At 35.7% G+C, this 25745-nt stretch overlaps 1 protein-coding gene and 1 long non-coding RNA gene across 7 annotated transcripts in view, besides 1 other annotated feature; both read right to left on the bottom strand.

Moving 5' to 3' along the window:
- The window catches only part of PRMT3 (protein arginine methyltransferase 3), a 121623-nt gene that overhangs the window by 48080 nt on the left and 47798 nt on the right, over window positions 1–25745 (bottom strand). For all 6 annotated transcript variants that reach the window (NM_005788.4, NM_001145167.2, NM_001145166.2 and 3 more), the window contains one exon: window positions 9051–9129. In NM_005788.4, coding sequence (NP_005779.1) covers window positions 9051–9129 — 79 coding nt within the window. The remainder of the gene's footprint in view (window positions 1–9050; window positions 9130–25745) is intronic.
- Window positions 10604–10773: an enhancer, noted in NCBI's record as "experimental_19926 CRE fragment used in MPRA reporter constructs". NCBI's record gives its function as "activates a minimal promoter by MPRAs in K562 erythroleukemia cells, with activity observed for the introgressed 11:20472117 variant allele {active_cell/tissue: K562}" and the evidence as "EXISTENCE:reporter gene assay evidence [ECO:0000049][PMID:34662402]".
- Window positions 11188–19689, bottom strand: LOC124902808 (uncharacterized). Its single transcript, XR_007062965.1, has 2 exons — window positions 13494–19689; window positions 11188–12418 (listed from the first exon to the last, which is right to left on the bottom strand). It is a non-coding gene; the product is annotated as an uncharacterized LOC124902808 (long non-coding RNA).

The raw sequence follows: 25745 nt of genomic DNA, 5'->3' as shown, positions 1-25745 counted from the left end.
CCAGTAAGTTGGGAGTGGGGAGGGAAAGTGTATTCTAGGCAAAGTGAGCAGCAGTGTGCATAAAGGGTCACAATAGATGGGATGGCCCATATACAATCTAATTGAGAGAGAAATAAGACACAAGGCTAGAAAGGTAAGTAGAGACCAAAGACTACATGCTGAGTAAACCAAATTAGTAAACTGGACTTAATTCTAAGAATAATGATAATCCAGTAAAAAATTTTACATAGGGTAGCAACATGACTAGATTTTGATTTTAGACAAACCACCTGGAATGCAATGTGGAGAATAATGGGAGGGTCTAAGATGAAAACAGAGACAAATTAAGAGATAGTTAAAATAAACCAGGTGATCTGAACTAGGATATTGCTGTGGGAATGGAAAGGATGAGATGTATTCAAGGGATATTTATGAAGTAGAACTCAGAGGACTTTGAGGCTGAGTGGCTGTGGGGCAAAAGGTCAAGGATGACAGTATTTAGCTTTAGTAACAGCACAGATTGTGGTACTAACCATTATAATAGGACATAAATATGGGCAGATTCAAAAGGAACAGGAGCATTTAGTGCTTAAGAGATAAACAAATAAAAATGTCTGAAATGTAGCTGAATACAAAGGTCTGAAATTCAAAAAAGGATATCTAAGTTGAAGACATAAATTTGGAGACCATAGGCATATAAATGAAAGATAAGTAAAGGGAGTTCATGAGACCTAGGGAGAATAGATAATGAATACTAGAATTCAAGGGACTTGACCGAGAAGCTGGAGCCACAAAAGTAAGAGAACCAAGAAGGTAAGTGTTACATGAGTTAAGGAAAGTGTGATTGAAGGAGAAACTCTCCACTAATAACAAGTAAAGAAATAACAAAATTAACTTTGTCTTTCCAATATCTCAAATATCAACTTTTAGGGTACTCATGAATTAAAAATATAAATCACATGTTCCCATATCAGCAAAATGAAACAAGTATAAATGTACCAAAGAAATGCAGCAAAAACAAAAACAAACAAACAAAAACCATGAGTATTAACTAGCTTTCAGGTGTAAACAATAGAAAAATTACTCTCTCCTTCCTCCTAACGTTTATTTCCACAGCCTTAGCAATTTTATTATTCAATGACAGCAGCACTAAATTATTCTCCAAATAAAGCCCACGATAAGATTTACTGGCACCAACGCAATTGCTTCCAAACCTAACTTGTGAGATACTCAGAAAAAACTACGTAGTACTAAGTCACTGATAAGAAGTTTCTCAAGTCTTCCCTGATAGGCATGTGAGGGATGTATGCCAGCTGCACCAGACCACGGTCCATTGCCATGCAAACTCTGCCCTTCCTCCACAAACAGGTAAAGCCTCTGGATTGTGTTTAAATTCTTGATTGATACAAATTCTTCAAAGTAACTGATTTGTTATTGAAAATGTTAACTCAGTAAGAGGATCAGCTATAAGGAAGTGTATTTAGTTTGTTGAACCACATCCTTAGGATGAGAAACACTGAATAAAAAAATAAGAATTCAGAAGCAGCTTTAGGTATGTGGCTAACTTTCTGATACATCCTTTGTTGGACTGAATAATTACAGAAGCTTTCCCACATTATGCCCTGTCGTTTCATCATTAAAGAGGAACATAATAAGGGTATAGTCAGGTGATCAGCAAACATTTTTTGTGAAATTACCAGTTTAGGTTTTGTGGACAAAACTGACTTTTGTTGAAACTACTGCTTTCTGCTATTGGTGTGAAAGCAGCATGGACAATATATAAACAAATGAGCATGGCTGTGTTCCAATAAAACTTTATCTACAAAACAGGCAGCAGGCTAGATACAGATAACCTTGATATAAATGAGCAGAAATGGAGGGGGGTTATTATCAGGGCCACCATATGGTCCTACTTCAGGGAGTGCCGTTCACACTATATAGTTAATGGGAACTGAATATCCTCTGGAGTTGTGCAGTACACAGACATTCAAGATACTTAACATAGTTGATACAGTTCTGCTATTTTAGAATATCTTTTAAAATCTTGCTGAAGTTTTAAAATGCCATCAGTCTCTCTATCAGGGTCAGCAGACTATGGCCCATAGTCAAATCCAGCCTGCTGCCAGTTTTTGTATTAATATATAAAGTTTAGCTGTAACACTACCACATTCATTTGTTTACATGTTGTCTATGGCCACACTACACTACAGTGGCAGAGTTGAATAGTTGGGACAGAGGCTATATGGCCTATAAAACTGAAAAAAAATTTACTATATGGCCTTTTACTGAAAAAATTTACTTATCTCTGGCTCTATATTAAGTAATATATTAGTGACACCATAAAACTAAAGGTAACTTTTTTATAAGAAAAAATTGTAACTTACTAAAAGTAATAAAACAATTTTGAAATTGTTGGTAATTAGAAGAGAAACTAAAGAAGAACATGATTTTATTTTTGGGTGTTGTGTATTTTTCAAATTATTTGTCTTTCACAAAAATACAGAAAAGCACAGTTTTTATATTGCTAGAATTTGCAAATAAAATTATTTTTAATCTTTCGGTTAGTAAGATCTATGAATATGCATAAGGATATGTAATCAGTGTTATAGGTCAATTTGGTTCTATAACCACCTCCTCACAGCTGGCTAAAATCTTGGACCACCTGCCAGAATCCTGACCCTTTACCTTTGCATTCTGACACATTTGTCATTTGATTTTTGTCAGATAGAAGCTATAATTGAATAATTATTTCTTGTTGTAGGTGAAATTAACAAAGCGCTGATTGGACAAAAGCATGCTCTTAACAGACCATTTATAAATTCATGGCTTTGACATCTGTGTCCTTCTCGATTCACTGCCCAGAATTCATTTGTCACTAGAATGGCTCACATGGTGAATAGATAAAGATGGGAAATCCTTTATCCCTTAGAAATGCCTCATAAACTTTTGGACACTAAAGGATAAGATAGAGATGCATAAAGAAACAATTTCTAGTAAACACTAGGAATTTTGTATCACTGTTTGTATAAATAACCACAGAGTAAAAAGATTTAAAACAAAGGAGATAGTAAATAAGTCAAAATAAACCACTTTTTTCATGATATATATGAACAATATGAAGATTTTAGTGAAATAACAATGGTAGCAAAAATGCTTGATATGCATAAAAGAAAATGTACTAGAAAGTCACCAAATGGGAATTAAATGAGCTTTAAAAATTAATTTCTAGTTTATATAATAAAGGTATCTTTAAAAAGTAATATTTATTTGGAAATTGGACTCATTTCCCCATCATTCATTTATAAATAATGACAAGACCCACTAACGTTTAGCTAAGGCTAACATATAGCTGTAATATGCTTTGAAAAATTATATGCTGAAAAATAAAAAATGACACTACTGCTCTATTACTGAACAAACTCAAACTAATAAATGTGAAAAATGCAGATCTGAAGATGAGGAAGTAGACAGTTATGAAAATACTAAAGGAATCCTTTAAGCACTATGAACCAATGCCAGTGGCTGATTATATTGAGATAATCTATGTAAAAGTGTAGAAAATGTGAAGTGCTGTATAAAAGGTAAGTGTTAATACCACAATGCTTAAATTCATTTCATAACTTTTATAAAGTATAAACCTACTGCTAATCTCATGTTCACCAGTTGTAACTCTGACTGGGAATTAACATTTATTGAGCAACTACTTTGTGTCAAGCACCTCATTTAGACTTTTGAATAATTTTACAAAGTTGGATTATAATCTTCATGTTATAAATTAAACTTAAATTCAGAGAGTAACTTGGGCAGAAAGTAACTTGCCCAAATAAATACCTGGTCTTCTTCAGCTAACCAGATAACTAGTCAGCTGACACAGCAGAGATTCAACTTAAGGTCTAATTGTGAAATCCATATGCTTTCCATTATGCATGATGCCACATTTTAATGCTTTTCAAATGGAAGAAACGGAAAGAGGAACCCCAGGTTCCTAAGGTAAACGGTACTTGTTGGAAGAGAAGGAAGGAGAAAGGGGGTTGAAAAGAGTGGAGATAAATAAAATTTCAGGACAAAGTAAGGAAAATGGTAACATTTAAGCTTATTTTGCTCTGAGCAAAGGAATGAGATGACAAGGCAAAAACAAAACAAAAACACCAAAAAGGAAAGCAAGCAAGCAAGGTCAAGAGATCAAGACCAGCCTGGCCACCATGCTGAAACCCCACTTCTACTAAAAATACAAAGAATTAGCTGGACGTGGTGGCAGGGCGCCTCTAATTCCAGCTAGTCGAGAGGCTGAGGCAGGAGAATTGCTTACACCCAGAAGGCAAAGGTTGCAGTGAGCCAAGATCGTGCCACTGCACTCCAGCCTGGGTGACAGGGACAGACTCCATTAAAAAATAAAAATAAAAAAGACAACTTAAAAATGAAAAGATACATTATAGTCATGAACTGTAAAACTCAATATTAAAATGCTGATCATTCCAATTCCAAATTTATCCAATTCCAAATTGATAAATTCATTCAATCCAATCCCTTCATAATTCTAGCAGTCTTTTTTTTAAAGCAGAAATAGCCAGATTCTAACATTTATTTTAAACTCCCCCCTGCCACATGACCAAACTATCAAAGCAATTTTTAAAAAGATCAAAATGGGGAGATTTTCCTTACCTGACCAAGACTCAGTATAAAGTTACAGTAATTAAGACAGTATGTTACTGGTGAAAGGACAGCCTTAAAGATCAAATGAAAAGAACACAAAAATAGACTCACATGAATATGGCCAATTAATTTTCAAGATATGCCAAGCAATTCATGGGAAAGAACAGCATTTCAATTAAGGGTGCTAGAAAATATTAATATCTAACCTTATCTCACACTATACACAAAAATTAATTAGAAATAAATCATAGACATAAATGTAAAAACTGAAACTCCAAGAAACAAAGGAAAATTCTGTGTGACCTTGAGTAAAGCAAAGATTTCTTAAGACATTTTTCTTAGTACGACAGAGACTGAGCACATGTTTAAGAGTCATCTGTATTTCCTTCTTTGTAAGCCACCGTTCAATTATTTGTCCAATTTTCTATTGGGTTTGTCGTCTATTTATTTATATAATCTACCTATATGTGGGAGAGATTAGCTTTCTGTTGTGACAGAAATTGAAAAATTATTTTCAGTATGTAGTTTCTCTTGTGACTTTGCTTATAGCATATTCTGCCATTTAGAAATTTATATAGATGCAATTAGATTTATCAGTGTTTCTTTCAGGGTTTCTGAATTAAAGTTCTTACTTAGAAAGACTCCCTTCCTCCAAGTTTATAAACCTATGTTTCCTTTTAGTATTTTTAGCATTTGACTTATCTTGCATTTAATCTTTGATTATCTGAAATTCACAGTGTACAATTTATTGTGTGGATTAAACTTTACTTTTTTTTTTTACACAATTGTCTCAATAGAATTTGCTACAGTATATCATTTCTTCAATTATATGAGATGCCATGTATAGTCAGGCCTATACCACTCTCTTCAACGCATCTCTCAAGAACCAATAATATATTGTTTTAATTATTAAGGCTTTATAATGTGTTTTAATATTTGGTAGCAGTATTCCTTCTGCTACCCCCCATCCTGCACCCTTCTATTTTTCAGAAAAATTAGGAATCAAATTATCTCATAATTCATTTGACCCGAAGAAGGTGGGAATTGCTACTTCAGCTGATTTTAAAAGTCTCTTTTCTGAAGTATAATTTATATGCAGCAAAACTCACTCTTTTTGGTATATATTTGCATGTGCTTTGATAAAGTCACACAGTTATGCAATCACCACCATAGTCAAGAGACATAGACAGGATCTACCACCACCAACCTCATCACTCAATTTAATGTTAGCTTCGTAGTGCTAAATGTACTTAATAATTCTACTACTTGATCCATCAGCTTTAAATAATATTCTTTAAGTTTCTATTATTAAAGATAAAGCAATTAAAATGTGAACACTTCTACCTGCTGTCTGCATTCCCTTTCCAATTTTTGTGAGATGGAGTATTTGACACGGTTAGCACATAAAACATTTATATTCTATGTTGTCTCCTAAAATATACATTTATTTTAGTCTTAATCGTAGTTGTAAAAACACCCATTGGTCATAACCAATATTTTCCTATTTTTCCTCCTCATCTCTTGTTGGCTGCATGTAAAACATTACAATTCCTGATACACAATTAGTGCTTAGTAAATATTAGCTAGAAATAGTAGAAATCGTTGCTAGTAAACCTGCTTTCATGAACTTTACAAAATTAGTTTTCTTAGAAGTAAGATAGTAAATATATAACTCTAAAACACAGTGGAATTGCTTGATTGATAATGGGGTAGATGAACATCCCAGTTATTGCCTGTGCTTTATAAAGCCTTTACTGCTCACCATAATATGTATGGTGAGACATAAATTGAACTTAAACTCATGTAAAAATAAATTGTGGTCCCATCACGTTTGTATGGGCCTTCAATATTTTCCCTCTCTCATACTGCATTCATTCTTTCTATCACCTTTTTACTACTAATTACTTGGTAAATCTTTCCTTCAGAAAAACAGAAAGGAAAACTTTGCTTTGTGATAAAACAATGAGCATCTAAATGACTGGTGATACGCATCAAGACATACTCAAAAACACAAATAGACTATTTTTTGTTACTCTTTTCTGAACTTTCTTTCTCTTGATTCTGTTAACAAATAAGATTCAACAGCACTGCTTAAGGAGTTAAATGCTGACCTCTCTTAAATATACCCCTGTATTATCTTAATACTAATATTAGCTATATAAAAGTATAGAAAGAGCTAGATATATGAACCTCCACTTTATCCCTCTGATGATAAGAAATAGCTCTGCCATTGTTCACATTGCTGTAAGTTCTTAATGAATTTCAGTGAGAATTCAATTTAAATGTATTAAGTTGCTGTCAGTTCCTCAATAAGATCAAGTCAGGCAGGTCTGGAAACAGTTACTTGGATCTTCCCTAGAACGTCAAGGCAATAATCACATTTAAAAAATACATTTTAGTAGGAAAACAAGGCTTAGTAAAAAGAACATGAATACTGGAGGCTGGCAGATGTGAGTTTAAAAAAAATCATGGTTTAGCCATTTAATATGTGTCATCCAGGACACTTTTAGGAGACTGTAAAATCTCAAAGGGCTCTTGTGAGGATTATGTCTAGTAACATAAATGAAGGTAGAGTATATTGTTTGGCAGCCAGTAGATGGTCAACAAATGATGTATAATGTTGTTTTTAAGTCATTAAATGTTACAGTTTATGTATCCCTAATCTGAAAATCTGAAATGCTCCATGTTCTAAAACTTTTTAAGCACTGACATGAACCCAAAGGAAATGCTCACTGCGACATTTCAGATGTCCGATTTTCAGATAAGCATGCTCAACCAGTAAGTATAATGCAAAGACTGTACTCCGAAACCCCCCTAAAACACAAAATCTGAAACACTGCAGGTCCCAACCATTTTAGATAAGGGATATTCAACCTGGAGTAGTCATTAAAAAAACAAAGCCACTGCAATCATAGAAAGTTGCAGCCAATTGCTGCAGGGTAAAATATATCTAAAAATTCTAGCCAGGTTCATGACAGAGATTGGGAACATATCTTGAAATGGTTGCAGAAAATAAAGTGATAAAATGGGCACATTTTGAAAAAGAAAGGCAATCCATTTAAATGCCATTATAAAAAGAACTCTCTTGTTCTGGAGAATTTTCTCTGTATTTATGTTTTGGCCTTACTGATTTTTTTTTTTTTTTCTGAGATGGAGTCTCGCTCTGTCACCCAGGCTGGAGTGCAGTGGCAGGATCTCCTCTCACTGCAACCTCTGCCTCCCGGGTTCAAGCAATTCTCCTGTCGGGACTATAGGCACCTGCCACCAAGCCCAGCTAATTTTTGGATTTTTTTTTTTTTTTTTTTTTTAGTAAAGACGGGGTTTCACTATATTGGTCAGGCTGGTCTTGAACTCCTGACCTCAGGTGATCTGCCTGCCATGGCCTCTCAGAGTGCTGGGATTACAAGCGTGAGCCACTGCACCCAGCCGGCCTGATTTTTAACTGTACCAAAACTGCCAAAGTAATTTCATAGAACATGGATGGTAGGAGGCATAACTATGGTCAAGTCCTTTGCATCACTAGTTTGAAATGCCTGCCCCTTTCATGTGACAGTTTTACCAACTGTATTCTGACCATGGAAACCATTTACTGATTCTGAAGCTTTGAGAAAGGTTAAGATGCAGGGAGGTAAGTGAAGGAGGAACATGCCATTCAATTCAGTTTTAATGATTCTTTAAATGATTCAATTCAATAAACATGGATGATGCTCCATCTACATCCTAGAAGCTGTGGAGCTCATTTAAGAGTTAAAGCTAAACAAACACAATCCCTGTCCTGAAAGACAATTATTTTGTATGTATATAATTGCTCACAGCAGATGGTCTGTAAAAACAGAATCTCACTCTGAGTATGCAGAGTTAATATGATTAAATGTTTTCCAGAGACATGAAAAGAAAGCCTTCCAAATTTATTAGGATCCCTTTATATGTGGATTGGTTATGTGGCACTTTTAAAACTCATTAGAAACCAGTCACTACTTGAAATGTTCTCAGAAAATCACAGAGAAGTCGGGTTTACAGATTTAGTGAAGTCGTGAATAATTTCCAACTTAGAATGAAATATGCCATTGGGAAAAAAGGGAACTAAATGACATGAGGATTAAAAATAAAAAGGAGTTTGTTAGATTTGAGTTTGAATATCAAAAAGCTTCCAAAACCTAGTCTTTAGATATTTATTAAAAGGACCTTTTAATAAAAGCATTCTTGAGAATACCATTACCTTGGAGTCCCCCATGTCTTATATAATATTCTACTTTCAACAATATAGTAAACAAATGTCTTAAAGCTTCTTGTAATGCAAACATCTTTCAACCCTATCGGGAACTTCCTCAGCCATGCATAGTTTATTTGAAATCCAAAGGTTCATCTGGTTCTGCTAGACTAAAATTAGATTATTAAAACCAGAATTTTATACTCACCCGAGCCTCCTTTTGCCAAGTATTTGTTCTTTGCATAAAGGACAGAATCTAACATAGACTCAAACAGAAGAAAATAGCCCTGCATAAAAAAAGGGGAAAAAAAGAGTTTAGAAATGTGCAATACTCTCATAAGCAGGTCAATTTAAACATCGGTGCTACTCTTTTAATTACAGAATATTTTTTTTTCTGCCACAGATGTAATAATATTCTGCAAAATCTGAAACTTTTTTTTGCAGTAAGTTATTGGAAAATCAGGCCAGCTTATAAAGTGAACCCAGAAAGTTTATTGTGGTAAAATATACTGCATTTTCTTTATCTATGATTCTACTTTCCAGACTACTCTTTCTTCCTCATTAAAAAATGTTTGGATAGACATTATTAACAAGCCCTATAACTCCCTGGAATGATGCAATATCCATCTAGAGCAGTGGTTCTCCACTTGATTTTGCCTGCTGGGGAACACGTGGCAATGTCTGAGTAATTTTTGATTGTTGCAACTGGGGGTGGGGGATGAACGAGATGCTACTGGCATCTACTGTGTAGAGCCAAGGTATGTTGGTAAACATCCTTCAATGCACAGGACAGCTTCTTACAAGAAAGAATGGCCTGGCCCAAAATGTCAATAGCACTAAGGTTGAGAAACTCTAGTCTAGAAAACCACTTCCCAAATAATTTCCTGTCTAGTGACTTTCTTTTTGGTATTAAAAAAAAAAACAAAAAAGAAAGTGGAGGGATCCTTAGTCAAAAAGGTTTAAGAAACGCCAGCTGCCATATCCTCCTATTAGAGATTCATAATGTGCATGAGCACACTAAAAGTTCTGAGTAGTTCTCATGGTAAAGAGAACTGCTGAACATATTTTAACCAAGTATTACCCACTTTCTGACTACAGACCTTTTTTTTTTCTATTTAACATCTATCAACACCTTGCAGAACTAGTGTTCATGGAAATAAAATTCATGAAACATGATCCTGGTGTACTACCGATTTTAGAGTATGATAATGAATCCTCTACCAAGAAAGGGTAAATAATACAGTACAAATGAAAAAAGAATTTGCCACTACTGGTGTCACAAATACGCTACATTCCAATACTGTGCTTCACAGTTTATTATACAAATGACAAATAATCATGACTGAGAAATCACTATCAGTTTCAGTCAGTCTTTCTCCTTCTAGGGTCCAACCCCCCAACAGCCCTATGCAGCAGGGAAAGCCAAGTGCTCAGCACATAGTACATCTTATTGCTCAGGGTGAACCAACATTAATTTTACCTTTACTTTAGCATTCTATATCAAAACTGTTCTCATCCACTCATTTGTTTTGTTCACAAATAAATGATCAGTGGGGTAAGTATAATATTCTTTAACCACATTAAAAAAACATTTTAAAGGTTTCTCTAGAACAAGAAAAACCTGCAAACCCAGAATGGATAATCTTCACAAGAGATTAACAGCAATTTTAATTTATAGAAAATACAGCTCTCATGCTTGAATCACTTATAAAGGAACTGAACTGAATTGCCGGCAACTCTACGTCGGTATTGACCTATTCCCCCCAGCTCACTGATTCATTGATACAAAAATAACTGCCTATTAAACAGAGGCTTAGGAACAAAGCTTGTTTATCAATATGTTACATTAGGAAAATTAAGGATTTGACAGAAACATGTTTTTCTGGATAGAGTACTTCAGTAATATGTAAAATTCTTACAAGTTAGTTCCCCATTAATATTATCTATGTATTCAAAGAACAAGGGACTTATGGGATTCAACTAAGAAATCTTTACCAATCTGACATATTCACGCAGATTTCACACACAAATGCTTATAAATAGGCATTCAACTGTTGCTTATAGTGAATTATAATTTATGCCAAGGAATTATTAAATGGAAGGCATCTATCTTACGAAGAAAAGATTGGCTGGTAAAACATAATAGATTTGGTGAAAAAAATGGTCCCTATCTGCAAGACTGCTGTGTTTCAAAACTGAAAATAAAATAAATAAAATTAACACTTTAGTACAAATTAAGTATTCACTACATTCCAATCCTTTTTGGACAAAGGCCCAAAAAAGTTTGTATTGATTTGTCATTGTCAAATTGTTTTCTAGTATTCTATCTTTCAGCTCAGCTGTTACCTTATCACAAAGAATTTCTCTGATGTTCCTACATAAAATATCCTTTCTTTTTCTTTCATCAAGCTCCATTTCTTTATCCTGCTTTGTATTTCATCATAGCACTTATGAATGAAAATACTATTTATTTTTGTTTTTATTTTGTCTCCTTACTAAAATATCAGCTCCAAGATCAAGGACTTTGTCATATTGTTTGAAGCTATATTCCTGAAGGCTGAAAATGTGTCTGGTACATAGTAGGAACTCAATATGTAACTTTAAAATGAATAAATAAAAGTTATTAATACTATGTGTAATATTATATTTGTTAAAATGAAACTGCTTTTTATTTTTGTGGTAGAAATTAAAATGTTATTTTAAAATGATATTTTGTTTTCTAAAATTAAAACTGACAAATAATGGTGGTGATAATCGTTAAAATTCATTGTGATGCCTCTATAAAAATTATTTCATTTAATTCTTCCCCAAAGCACCATTTATTGTTATTCCAATTTAATTTATTTATGTTAAGTAAGTTGCGATCTAAAATAATAGTTCGGTCACATAAATGGGGAGTGAATGAGACAGAATTCGAACCTTGATCTCACTATACAAGTTCTGAATCACCCTTTTATGTTGCCTCTTAAATTGATTTGTCTAATTGAAAATAAGATTTAGTATGTGTATTATACTACATTTGTTAAGGATTCAAGCATTGCAAAAATGAAAAATTTTCCATAGACCATATTAAACAAGATTAGAATTTACAACAGGTGTGCAATCATTTCAGAGTAATATCTCAGTTGGCAACTGGCCCTTAGCCACTATTCATTGTGAAAATATTAGTTTGGAAAAATCAATGCAAATACTAGCATATATATAGAACTAATAAGACATTCATGAGATAAAATATCCAGTTAAAAATATTAGCAGATGAAAAGATTCACATACGTATTGCTAATGGTCATTGTCCTTTCTCTCAACTTTCCACTTTGCTAAACTTCATTTTACGATAGGCTCCCTATGTGATACAACAGCCTTTAAATTCCTGGGAATTGTCCTTGGTTCTGAACCAAGTCATTTATTACTGATATCAGAAGGCTCTGGTCCAAATGCCCCGCTCATCTGCAGTGTAATTCAGACTGTAATTTCACAGGCTGCTGCCTCACCTGTAGGGGTGCCATCTGGAAGGAGAATTACGCCTGATATTTTCTCCCATGATGCTCATGGGCATTCTTCTTCCAACAGTGACATCTACTTTTAAAAAATTAAATACTGCATTTATACTTTAATGATTACTATAAAGGAACATATGGAATTAAATCAGGGACTAGAATATTAACTTCATTCATTGAAGTGGGAATCTTGTCTTTAAAATGGCTGTTCATATCTTCTTGGATTAGATACATTAGTGATAAATGAAACTTTTGATACCTTCAGTATAAGGTGCCTTTCTAACTTTTTTTAGTTCAAATAACTGAATTACTGATACATCTCTAGGCAAAATTTAACTATTAAAAAAAAGGTAAGACAAGGTAGAGTTACAAATATAATGGAAGAGTTAATCTGAAGGATGATGACAAAGACTCAATAATCTGAAATACTTAAAGATTACCTGCAACAAATACACAAGCCTATATAATATAATCATAATTTCTATGTAGTATATCTCTGAATCATAATAAGTAGTTGATAACATTTTTACCAGTATTACTCTCAAATTCTGTAACATTCACTGTAGACAGAATTTTTTGATGTGATTGGAGCTGGCAGTCAGTTGTTAATTGGAAACAAGACATTTCAAGTAAAAACATACAGATTCGTTTGCCAGCATTCTTTGAGGATATATCCACTGACTGGAATCCTCATCATCTTCCCTATCTAAAACAAATTCATAGGTTTTAGGTAATTTCCAGTTTTGGTTACTTTAAATAGAAGAAAAAAAAAATCTATGAGCACTTGCCAAGTAGAGAATCCTCCTTGAATTCTACGATTTCCACCCTCCTACTCGGGCTCTTCAAACTAGGAGGAGACAACTCAGGAAGGAGAAAACACTAAAAAAAATTGTGGAATGGAGTAAAACACTTTGTTTACAAACAATTTACAACTGTTTGTGAGTAAAACAATTTTACTTGCTCCATTCCATAGCATTTTTTAGTGTTTTCTTCTTCCTGAGTGTTTCCAAAGCAGTCACTTTTGTTTGCATAGAAAAAAACCAACTATATCCTTTATATAATCTTGTCAATAGTTTGTGTTCATATTTAACTGATTTTACATAAATAAGCAGGCAAACAAACACAATAAGATCTTGGTAAACAACGCAACTGACAGAAGCAGAACAGTGGCAGCAAGCTGAAGGTGGCTTTACGTGTTTAGAGAGAGCCACAGGAACCTAGCAAAGTGTTACGTAAAAAGAATGCAGAACATCACAAATTTGGTGAATTAGTTAAATGCAGGTTGATTATGATGTCTTCTATGACATATTCATGTAACAAAGTATACTGTCATAATGTCACCTCTCCAAGAAAATCCTTTATGCCCCATACCAGGTCAAGTACCTTTATAATATGACCCAAATTAGAGGCTAACTTATTATCAACGCATAGAAACAATCATTCTAAAGCAGGGTTTCTCGATATTGACACTAATGACATTTTGGGCCAGATAAATTTGTAGGGGCTTTCCTGTCCATTGAAGGATGTTTAGCAGCATTCCTGGGCTCTACTCACCGGCACCATTGTCCCCACCCAACCCACAGTCCCAAATTCTAACAATCTAAAATGTTTCCAGAGATTGCCCACAGCTCAAATAATCCCAGGAGTGTGAAACTGTCCCCTCTTCCACCCCATTGAAAACCACTGTTCTAGAGGTATCCAAAATGCAAATAAATAAGCATTCTTTCCTAATCTACTGTGTTCTCTGCTTAAAAAAAAAGCACCAAACTTAAGGTCTTACAGAATGCAATGCAATCTCTATTTATTTCACTGTTATAATAGCCTTAGATATTAAACACTTTTACTGCAAAGTTTTTTCAATGATTCCCCAGTCTATCACTTGACCCTTCCATCTTAAAATGTGCTAATGCTAACCACCTAATTTATCATAAATGTGATAATGAAATTACATGAGAGTTTTCAAAGTAATTATATAAAATCCTTTTGGGTAAGATACTTTCCTTACAGCTCCACAGTGACTGATAAAGATTATATTACACTGTTAGGCACTTGGCAAAATACAGGCGGCTGATGATATCACTCAACAGGGATACCTTTACCCTTTGCACTTATTTGCCATAGAATGGGTAGGAAAATGTTGTGTTGGCATCTGTATATATACACATAGACATCTTTGTACAATGTTTAATGTATTTGGCCAAGATAAATTTCTTAAAGTAGAATTCTTGGATTAAAGGATAGGCACATTCAAAATTTTGATATGTATCATCAAACTGCCCACAGAAAGACTATGACAATTTGTATTCCCACAACTGTATGAGTGGAGTAAAGACCTAAATGTAAAAGGGAAAGGTATAGAGCTTATGGAGAATATTTTCATGTTCCTGTGGGAAAAAAGTCTGACCATAAAGACCAATACATTTGACTATGTTAAAACCCAGAACCTCTGCTCATAAAAACAATGAAGTCACAGAGTCTGAAAAGATATTGGCCAGCCACACACATATACACGTTTGTATATTTTCCATCACCAATGAAGAATACTAATTGTTAAAAAAAAAAAAGAGTATGCAACCCAAAAGAAAAATGGGCAAAATAATTATATACAATTACTTCATAAGACAAAAAATATATTACTTCATTAGTAATTCAAACACAATGGGAAACTACTACATGACTACGAGATTAGCAGTCACACAATACCCAGGGTTGAGAAGTCTATGGAGGTATGAAATAAAATTTTACTGCAGTACTTTGGAAAAGTACAGTACTTTGGAATTAACATGTAAGAGCAGCACACCCTGTGCTCTAGCAACTCTACTCCTAATTGTATACCCAGACATGAGTGCTGAAGTGTAAGAGCACACACGTACAAGCACACTACAGCACTATTATTTGCGTAATAAACTGGAAATGATCCAGTGCCCACCAACAGTAAAATTTAAAAAACCTTTTCCTATGATGTGTTTTCTTGTGGTACATTCATACAACGACATCTATAGAAAATAAATTATCCTTATAGGCAATATAAATGAATGTTATGAACATGACTGAGTGAAGAAAGCAAAAACACATTTTAAAAAGAAAAAGGTATGTTTTGCTCCATTCATATAAATTTCAAAAACAGGTAAATATAAACTACACTGTTTAGGGATGTAAGTATAAGTGGTAACAGCAAAAAGAAAGGCAAGGAAATGATTATCATAAAGGTCAGGAGAGTGGTTACCTCTGGGGTACGGAGTTCTAACTGAGAAATGATATTTGGATGTCTTCTTTCTATATTTTCACCTGGCTGATGATCACACAGGTGTTCATTATATAACTATTCGTTATTACTGTACCTGTAAGTTTATGCAATTTTCTGTGTATGGTACATTTCACAACTAAAAAGGTTATACAAAGATTTATATAACTAGCATATATAATATACAATAACGTGGGTGAAAGCAAAAAGAACACATTCATATCTGCTTATAAATGGTTATAGCATGTGTGGAACAGTACACAATTAGACAAAATGATTGCCTCTGTGTATGGAATATAATAGTAGGGGTATAGGAAGGGAAGGAGACTAACTCTTCAATATAAACTCTTTCATATCTTGCAAATTTTACATCATTGTTATACACTATTTGCACATAAAATTTTAAAAAAGAAAACAAAAAGGCAAATAATCACAAGCTAAAAAGACAATAGTTTTTCATACTACATTTTGCAAAGAAAAAGTGAAACTGATTTTTTTTAAAAAATTAAGATTATAGGAAGAGATTGTAAGAGAGGTTTAGAAAAGGAAAAGTCAAGAAAGTGCTATATAGAAGAAATCCACTTTTAACCTATGTTTTTATATTTAAAGAAAAAGGGTGGGAAAACCCATAACATTTAAACATTAACCATAAGAAAATTACAATTATTAAAAACATTATCAGGGACAAAGAACAATACTTCATAATGATAAAGAAGCCAAACTATCAATGACACATAATAACCTAATGTGTATGCACCTAATAACCATATAAAAATACCTGAAGCAAAACCTGACAGAACTGAAAAGAGAAAGAGACAACCCTGAACTATAGGTAGAAATTTCATTCTTCTTCTTTCAGTAATTAACAGAATTAATAGACAAAATAAATAAGGATTTAAAAGACCTGAACAACTTGACTCAAATGGTAATTACGTAACACTCCAACAATAACAGAGTAGGTACTTCATTCTAAATCAATGTGGAACATTCAATGAGAGAGACCACATGCTGGGCCATAAAGCAAGTCTGAACAAATTTAAAGGAATGATAGCATATAGAGCATGTTCTCTTATCACAACCAAATTAAATTAGAAATTAATAACAGAAAGACATTTTTAAAATTTCTTAACACTTAGAAATTAAACATGCTTCTAAATAATCCATGGACCAAAGCAGAAATCACAAGGGTGTATTTTGAATTGAATAAATTTGTGGGATGCAGCTATAACAGTCATTAGAGGGAAACTTATTGACGAAAAAAGCAAGGTACAGAACAATATGTAGAATATGCATACCTTACACTGAACATGAGGTTCACTGCTTTATCCCGCCTAGAAGAGTGCCAGGTACATAGTAGCCACACTATTTGTTAAATGAATGAGTATGCCAAGAAATATACATACATGTTTATAATAGAGTGTAATATTTTAAGACAGATATACTAGAAACTGGTAACATTTTTTTGGGGACCAGGGGTGGGTCCTGAGTAATAGGGTTAAAGACAAAAAAGGATAAAATTTATAATATCTGTATATCACATAGTCAAAAAATGACAATAGAATTTTACATGTATTAATCACAAATATCTGTCAGAGAAGCTCCTAATTTACCTATTATTTAACTTGATCACCAACTTCCACGCAAGAAGAAGAATCATGGTAATAACGGCTACTTATTAGGTCCCTATTATATGCGTGCTACTGTTCTGCAAGACTACTTTCTTCCACTTCTCTCACCTTCCAACATACAGTTCCCAACTTTTTAGTATTGTGGACTTCTGGAGAACATAACTTAGCACAAGAAATAATTTCCTCTGCATATTCTAAAGTTTAAAAAACTTGTATTAGCTTTTTCTCCCACTGGATGGCACTCTCACTTAATCAACAAAAGACTGACAGTCAAATTGGCCCTATTCCTCAGACTGCAGAAAACCGCCCAATAAGCAAGTCTATCAAAGGAAAAAGTGAATCTCTAAAAATCTTTCCCAAGGCACGTGTGGGTCTTATTCCAGACCCACAAAAACAGTTTCTAAAACAATATTCCCAATCCCCCATGGTGGGTGAAAAAAATTCATTAATGGTAACTGGATATTCCACTCTCAACGAATATCTATTACAATTATTAAAAACATTATCAGGGACAAAGAACAATACTTCATAATTGTGCATAACATTAGGTTATTATGTGTCATTGATAGTTTGGCTTCTTGTAATTCTCCATGTAGTCAACGAACATGGAGGAAATAGGAGACAAAGCCCAAAGTTCAACCAAAGTGAGAACTCTAAGAAGAAACTGCCCTAAATAACAGAGCTGGGACAAACAAATATATCTACAGAGCAAATGTGAATTTACAGTCTCATCTGCTGTCACCCATTTCCCCAATTCAGTTTAGAACCTTGGTGTTGAGCAGTCAAACACATACTTCCTCCCTAACTCCACCCCGTCTCCAATATGCATAAGACAGGCCCCAAACATACAACCCTGATTTACAATGCCTGGGTGGCAGGAAAAACCTAAAGTCAATAATTTAAAAATGACCCTTCAACACACTCTTTGGTAAGACTGAGGAAAAATGGGTATTCTCATTCCATTGTTGGTAAGAAAGTCAAATGGTACACAGCATTGAGGAGAATTTGGCAACAACTAGTAACGTTGCCCTCTCCTTCCCTTTCTCCATCCCTCCAGAACTGGCCTCAAGCAATCTTCCTGCCTTGGCCTCCCAAAGTGCTGGGATTACAGGTATAAGCCATCATGCCCAGCCCTCATTAACCCTTTGATATATCAATCTCACCTCTAGCAATATAAAATGACATTACACATATACAAGAATATTCAATACAATATTATTTGTAATAGCAAAAGAATGGGTAAAATTCAAATGAGCATTAATTACGTAGAATGTAATTGTCTATACAATTTATTCTACACAAGAATAAAAACCTTATATTTGAAATATACATGAATATTAGTCCAGGTCATGGGGGTGTGCAGAATTAATCAAATACCTGTCTAGGAAAGTTGGTGTGCATGTGTGCACAGCCATAAAAAGGAATGAGAAATATCTCTATAGAATAATGAAGTGATTTCTGAGAAAGAATTTTAATTGAATAAAAGCAAAGTATAGAACAATATCTAGAATATGCTAACTTTTGCATAAGGGTGAATATATACATATCTAATATTTTCAAAATAACCCCAAAAATAAAAAGAAAATGGTCATCTATCCACAAAGGAAGATAACAGAAGAAGAAACAGAATGTCCTGTTATCTTAAAATGTACATAAAAATTACTAAAAAATTAGTAATTTTTTGCATAACTAAAACACAAAATTAAACTAAACAAGGGAAAAAGAAGCAATCCTCCCCAAAATTGAAAAAAAGAAAACACTGAAATCTGGTTGTATGTCAAGTTGGTAACAGAATAGGTGAAAATAGTGACTACAAGTGACTTTAAAAAAAAAAACAATATTTTGACTGTACATTTCTTATGAGATACATTCTATAAGAAAATATAAACAAAATTTAAGCTGCATTTAGAAGTCTTATTGTATAGTAGTAAAGTTGGTATTTAAGTTCTGAAACTAGCCGGGCACAGTGGCCCACGCCTGTAATCCCAGCCCTTTGGGAGGCTGAGGCAGGCAGATCACCTGAGGTCAGGAGTTCAAGACCAGCCCCGCCAACATGGCGAAACCCCGTCTCTACTAAAAATACAAAAATTAGCCGGGCGTGGTGGCAGGCACTTGTAATCTCAGCTACTAGGGAGGCTGAGGCAGGAGAATCACTGGAACCTGGGGGGCAGAGGTTACAGTGAGACGAGATCACGCCATTTCACTCTAGCCTGAGTAAAAAAAGCAAAACTCCATCTCAAAAAAAAAAAAAAAAAAAAACCTGAAACTATTGTAGGTAGGTTATATGATAAAGCAATTATCATCTTAGGAACCAAGGTTTTCTGCACAGACGTAAAGAGACGCAAGTATAAAATCAAAGACTTCAAGTAAAAATTCCATAATCTTACACGGAAAATATGAGTGTAGATTTGTGACTTTTTATATTTAAAAAGTTAATTACAGGCTGGGCGCGGTGGCTCAAGCCTGTAATCCCAGCACTTTGGGAGGCCGAGGCTGGTGGATCACGAGGTCAGGAGATCGAGACCATCCTGGCTAACATGGTGAAACCCCGTCTCTACTAAAAATACAAAAAAAATTAGCTGGGCATGGTGGCGGGTGCCTATAGTCCCAGCTACTCAGGAAGCTGAGGCAGGAGAATGGCGTGAACCCGGGAGGCGGAGCTTGCAGTGAGCCGAGATTGCGCCACTGCACTCCAGCCTGGGCGAAAGAGCGAGACTCCATCTCAAAATATATAAATAAATAAATAAATAAATAAATAAATAAATAAATAAATAAATAAATAAAAAGTTAGTAACATCTGGTCTGTAGGAACATAGATGATGATCTCTACATATCATTTTCCAATGAAAGACCAGGATTCTTTGATTCCAAGTTTAGGCAGTATAAAACGACCATAAAATATCTTCTAGTACCAGAAAGTAAAATCTGAATCATAAACATACTTATTTGATATTTTCTGTGTATTATTACAATATATCAACCTGTAATTCAGATGTTATATTGAGGACTACTAGGGTTTGTTAAAGGAACACAAGAGACAAGAAAAAAAAAGGGAGAGGTGAAACTACAGATTAAGAAATTTTAGACTTGATACCAAAGGCATGATCTATAAAAATAATTGATAAATTAGACTTTATCAATATTAAAAACTTTTGCTCTATGAAAGACTCTGTTAAAAGGACGAAAGGACCTGCCACAGAGTGGGAGAAAATATTTGCAAACCACATATCCAATAAAGGATTAGTAAAAAGAACTGCCAAACACAACAGTAACCAGTGCTTGGGACACAGTAAGTACTCAGTGGATGCTTCAATATAATTTCAAATTTTTTCTTTGTAAAATTCAAGAAAAATTAATATTACTATTTTAATATATAGTAGAATACTAACCATTTTGATAAAAGCATATCAATTTATTCATCATCATTGTACATAAAAGACATCCAGAACAACTGTTTTTGCTTTTCATGCTCTTAAATGTGTCTTTTTATGACAGAATTTCTTAATTTTGATGTAGTCCAGTCCAATTTATTTTCTCTTTTTTTTTTTTTTTTTTTTTGTATTTTTAGTAGAGATGGGGTTTCACCGTGTTAGCCAGGATGGTCTCAATCTCCTGACCTCGTGATTCGCCCGCCTTGGCCTCCCAAAGTGCTGGGATTACAGGCGTGAGCCACCACACCCGGCCTCTTTTTAAGAGTCAGCATCTCGCTCTGTTGCCCAGGCTGGAGGGCAGTGGTGCAATCATAGCTCATGCAGTCTTGAACTTCTGGGCTTAAGCCATCCTCCTGCCTCAGCCAATCAAACTGCTGGGATTACAAGAGTGAGCCACTATCTTTTCTCTTAACATTAGTATTTTGGGGGTTTTGACTAAGAAATTTTCTCTATCCAGTCATAAATATATCCCCTTTTATTATCTTCTAAAGCTCTTTTTCCATTTAGAACTTTACTCCACTTGGAACTGATTTCTTCATTTTCTATGAAGTAGAAATCTTACTTCTTTTTATTTTCCCCAGTAAGGACATTCAGTTGTTTCAGCATCATCCTTTCCTCACTACTCTGTAGTACCACCTTTACCACAAATCAAGTGACCTTATGAGTATGGGTTACACAGGTCTGTTTGTCAGTCTTTGCACAAGTAAAACACTGTTTTAATTGCTGTAGTATACTTTATAGCTTGATATCTAGTACACAAAGTCCTCCCACCTTATTCTCATAAGAGTATACAGGCTGCTTTTGGGCTTCTTTTTCATTTACCTAAAAAGCTGCTTTTTCAAACTCCACATAAACATGGTTGAGATTTTTGCTGGATTACATTAAATCTACAGATTAATATGAAGAGAATTGACATCTTTACAATGTCTTCCAAACTTCAAACATGGTAATATTATCTCCACTTACTTACAGTATTTCATCAGTTCTAAAATGGACACCTCCCCCAATACTACAATGTCTGAAACTGCAATGTACATTAAAATTGGTGGCTTTGGAGAGTGATATCAGCAAGGGCTGACTAGAAGCCACTAGCACTTGCCCCTTTCACAAAGACAGCAAGAACAATGAAATATACAACTATGTTAATGAAAATAACCCAGGGAGAGCTCTGGAGACATCAGTGGAGTAACAGAAACGCTGGTGAGCACAAAAACTCAGGATGGCCACATTGAGAATGAAAGGGAACACCAGTCTCCTACCACCCCAAATCCCAGCCAGGATCAAGTGGGAATCAGGAGAACTTCTCCCTATGGCAAGGAGGTAAGCAAGAGGATCCCAGCAACCTCCATCAACACATTGGACATCTACAGACCTCACCACTGGGGTCACCTGCAGTCCTGACAAGCAATATGCCAGCTGAAGGAGCTGCCTGGGGTCCAAATAGCTGTGCTCTCCCAAGGGAAAATGACACTCTGTCCTGCCCCCAGTGCCTGTGTGGCTACTGCCATCTTGGAATTGAAACTATGGCTGAAGTGTACCTTGCTTCAGGGGTGAGTAGCCATGGCTCCCCTTCATCTCTAAGGCTAAGCTGCTGAACCACCCCAGTCTGGTGGTCCAACTTCCCCAGGCAGAGTTGTGAGCAGCTGTTACACCCTTACACGTAGGGTCAAAGCAGAGGTGGAGGCACTCCACCTACCCCTCTCCCACCCCCTCAAGCTGGAGCTGCAGCAGTATGCTGCCTCCTGGGAAAAGAGTACTGGGGCCACTCAGAGCAGTAACACCCCTCTGCCATCAGGGTTGAAGCAGTGCCCTGCATCCCAGGAAATGGTGCCTTGGCTGCCCAGAGAAACCACGACCCCATTTGGTAAGCTGAAGTAGCACCCAGTATCATGAGAAATGGAACCTGGGCTGCCCAGAACAGTAATGCCCCACAGGTCTATGGTGAAGTGGATTATCACCCTCTGGGAAATCAGTGACCTGGCTAAGCTAAGCATCTGTGCATCCCAGGGCTGAGCTGATGCAGTATGCTGCATCCCAGGGAAACAAGAGCAGTGGCTGAGCTGAGACACCCCACCCTACACAATGACTCTAGTACCCTGCTTGCCTGAAGCTAGACTAACCCCCACGAGTCCGAGTTGCAGAGACACCCCTTTCCTTGGGAAGTAGAGTCATCACTGTGCCTTTAGGCCACCTGCCACCCTTAGGGCCCAAATGACAGCTGAGCTCCACCATTCTAGGGTACTTGCTGCTGCTGCACCCAGCCTCACAGAGTCTGGGATACAGCCAACACCCACCATCCCAGTGTCTAAAGTCACTACTGTACAGTGTACCCTGCTCCCCCAGCCCAAACCTCCAGAACATCCCTGCTTCCCCAGGGTCAGGCCAGTGCTGTGGCTTGAGTAAAACCACAGTTACAACTGAGCCCTCTGGTTCCGAGCTGCTGGAGGGTGCCTCCATTGTCACAGATCCTAGTTCTTGTGGGAAACTTACATCCAACCCTGCCACAGAGGGTGAATCTGCACCCAAAGACCCAGGTAACACAAAAGGTTCATGGGATTCTGATGCAGTACTGTGGCCCCACTGCTGCTCCAAGCACCACTGCTGCTGCTTGTAGACCATGTCAGACCTAACAGCAGGGTCAGCTAAGTCTTCCTATTGTAGGAAAAATGAAAACATGAGGATCTCCCAAACTGCTGCAACTGAGTACCTTAAAAACTATGCTGCTGCCGGCCGGGCGCAGTGGCTCACGCCTGTAATCCCAGCACTTTGGGAGGCCGAGGCGGGCGGATCACGAGGTCAGGAGATTGAGACCATCCTGGCTAACATGGTGAAACCCTGTCTCTACTAAAAATGCAAAAAATTAGCCGGGCATGGTGGCGAGTGCTTGTAGTCCCAGCTACTCGGGAGGCTGAGGCAGGAGAATGGCATGAACCAGGGAGGCGGAGCTTGCATTGAGCCGAGATCGCACCACTGCACTCCAGCCTGGGCAACAGAGCGAGACTCCGTCTCAAAAATAACAACAAAAAAAACTATGCTGCTGCCACCACTGCCACAAACTTCTACAGCCTATACCACTGAGTCACTCATATTATTGCTGATGTTGAACACAGGTCAAGAAGCTGCAAAGAGACTATACCACTGCACCTATCTGGAAACATACTCACCACACCATTCCCAACTGGAACACTAATCTTTCCCTTTGCAACACTAGGAAGTCTAGAAAAGGCAACTGCTCCACCAGATGTCTACATCAAAAAAGTTGAATGATTTCAAATACAAAACCTAATGATGCATCTCAAACAACTAGAAAAGCAAAGTAGAAGGAAAGAAATAACAAAGGTCAGAGCAGAAATGAACAAAATTGAGACTTAAAAAATACAAAAGATCAATAAGAAAACCTGGTTTTTAAAAAAGATAAGCAAAATTGACACACCATTAGCTAGACTAACCAAGAAAAAAAAAGAGAAAACACCAAAATAAATAAAATCAGAAACAAAGAGACATTAAAATAGATACCATAGAATTATAAATGTTTATTAGAGACTATGATGAACAACTATATGCTAACAAATTGGAAAACCTAGAGGAAATGGATACATTCCTGGACACATACAACCTACCAAGATTGAACCAGGAATAGAAAATCTGAACAGAACACAAGTAACTAGATTGAATCTGTAATAAAAAGTCTATCAAAGAAAAATTCAGGACCCGATGCTTTCACTGCTAAATTGTACCAAACCCTTAAAGAACTAACACCGATTACTCTCAAACTCTTCCAGAAAATCAAGAGGGGGGATTTCTTCCAAACTCATTCTATGAGGTTAGCATTATATAGATAACAAAATCAGTTAAAGACACTATTAAAAAAAAAAACAAACTGCAGGCCAATATCCCAGATGAACACAGATGTAAAAGTCCTTAACAAAATACAAGCAAACTAAATCTTGTGGCACATCAGAAGATCACTTGCCATGATCAAGTGGGATTCATCCCAGATATGCAAGGATGACAAAATGTACACAAGTCAATAAACATGATACTTCAACAAAATGAAGGACAAAAGCCATATGATCATCTCAAAAGACACAGAGAAGCATCTGATAAAATTCAACATCCCTTCATGATAAATACTCTCAACAAGTTAGGCATAGAAGGAACGTACCTAACACAATACAGGCCATCAATGACAAACCCACAACCAACAACATACTGAATGGGGACAAGTTCAAACCATTTCCTCTTAGATATGGAATAAGATGAGGATGTCCACTTTCACCACTTTTATTCAACATAATACTAGCCAGAGCAATCAGGCAAGAGAAAGAAATAAAGGACATCCAAATTGGAAAGAAGGGAGACAAATTGTTCCTGTTTGAAGACGACATGATCTTATACAGAAAATCTAAAAACCTCTTAGAGCTGACAAACACATTCAATAAAGCTGAATGATACAAAATCAATATTCAAAAATCAGTAGCATTTCTATACCCAGGGGAAGTAATAAAGAAATCAAGAAAGCAATCCCATTTATATAACTACAGTAAAATAAAATACTTAGGAATAACTTTAAACAAAGAGTTGAAAGATCTCTACAATGAAAACTACAAAATACTGATGAAAGAAATTGAAGGGAACACACCAAAAATGGAAAGTGATCCCATGCTTATGAATTGGAAGAATTAATACTGTTGAAATAACCATACTGGCCAAAGTGATTTACAGATTCAGTGTAACAAAATACCAATGACATTCTTCGTAGAAATAAACAACCCTAAAACTTGCATGAAACCACAAAAGATCCTGAATAGCCAAAGTGATCCTGAGCAAAAACGGCAAAGCTGGAGGCATCACAATTCCTGATGTCAACAACCTATAGTAACCAAAACAGCATGATATTGGCATAAAAGCAGACACATAGACCAAAATAACTGAATAGAGAACCCAGAAATAAATCCATGCATTTACAGCCAACCGATTTTTGGCAAAGGTACCAAAAACATTTATTGGAGAAGGGACAGTCTCTTCAATTGTTGAGAAGAATGGATATCCATATGCAAACAAACAAACAAACAAAAATCAAACTAGATCCCTATCTCCTAC

This window comes from Homo sapiens, chromosome 11 (genome assembly GCF_000001405.40).
Source record: "Homo sapiens chromosome 11, GRCh38.p14 Primary Assembly".
Lineage (NCBI taxonomy): Eukaryota > Metazoa > Chordata > Mammalia > Primates > Hominidae > Homo > Homo sapiens.
The sequence above is the reverse complement of the archived record's forward strand: the minus strand, read 5'-3'. Positions and strand labels throughout refer to the sequence as shown.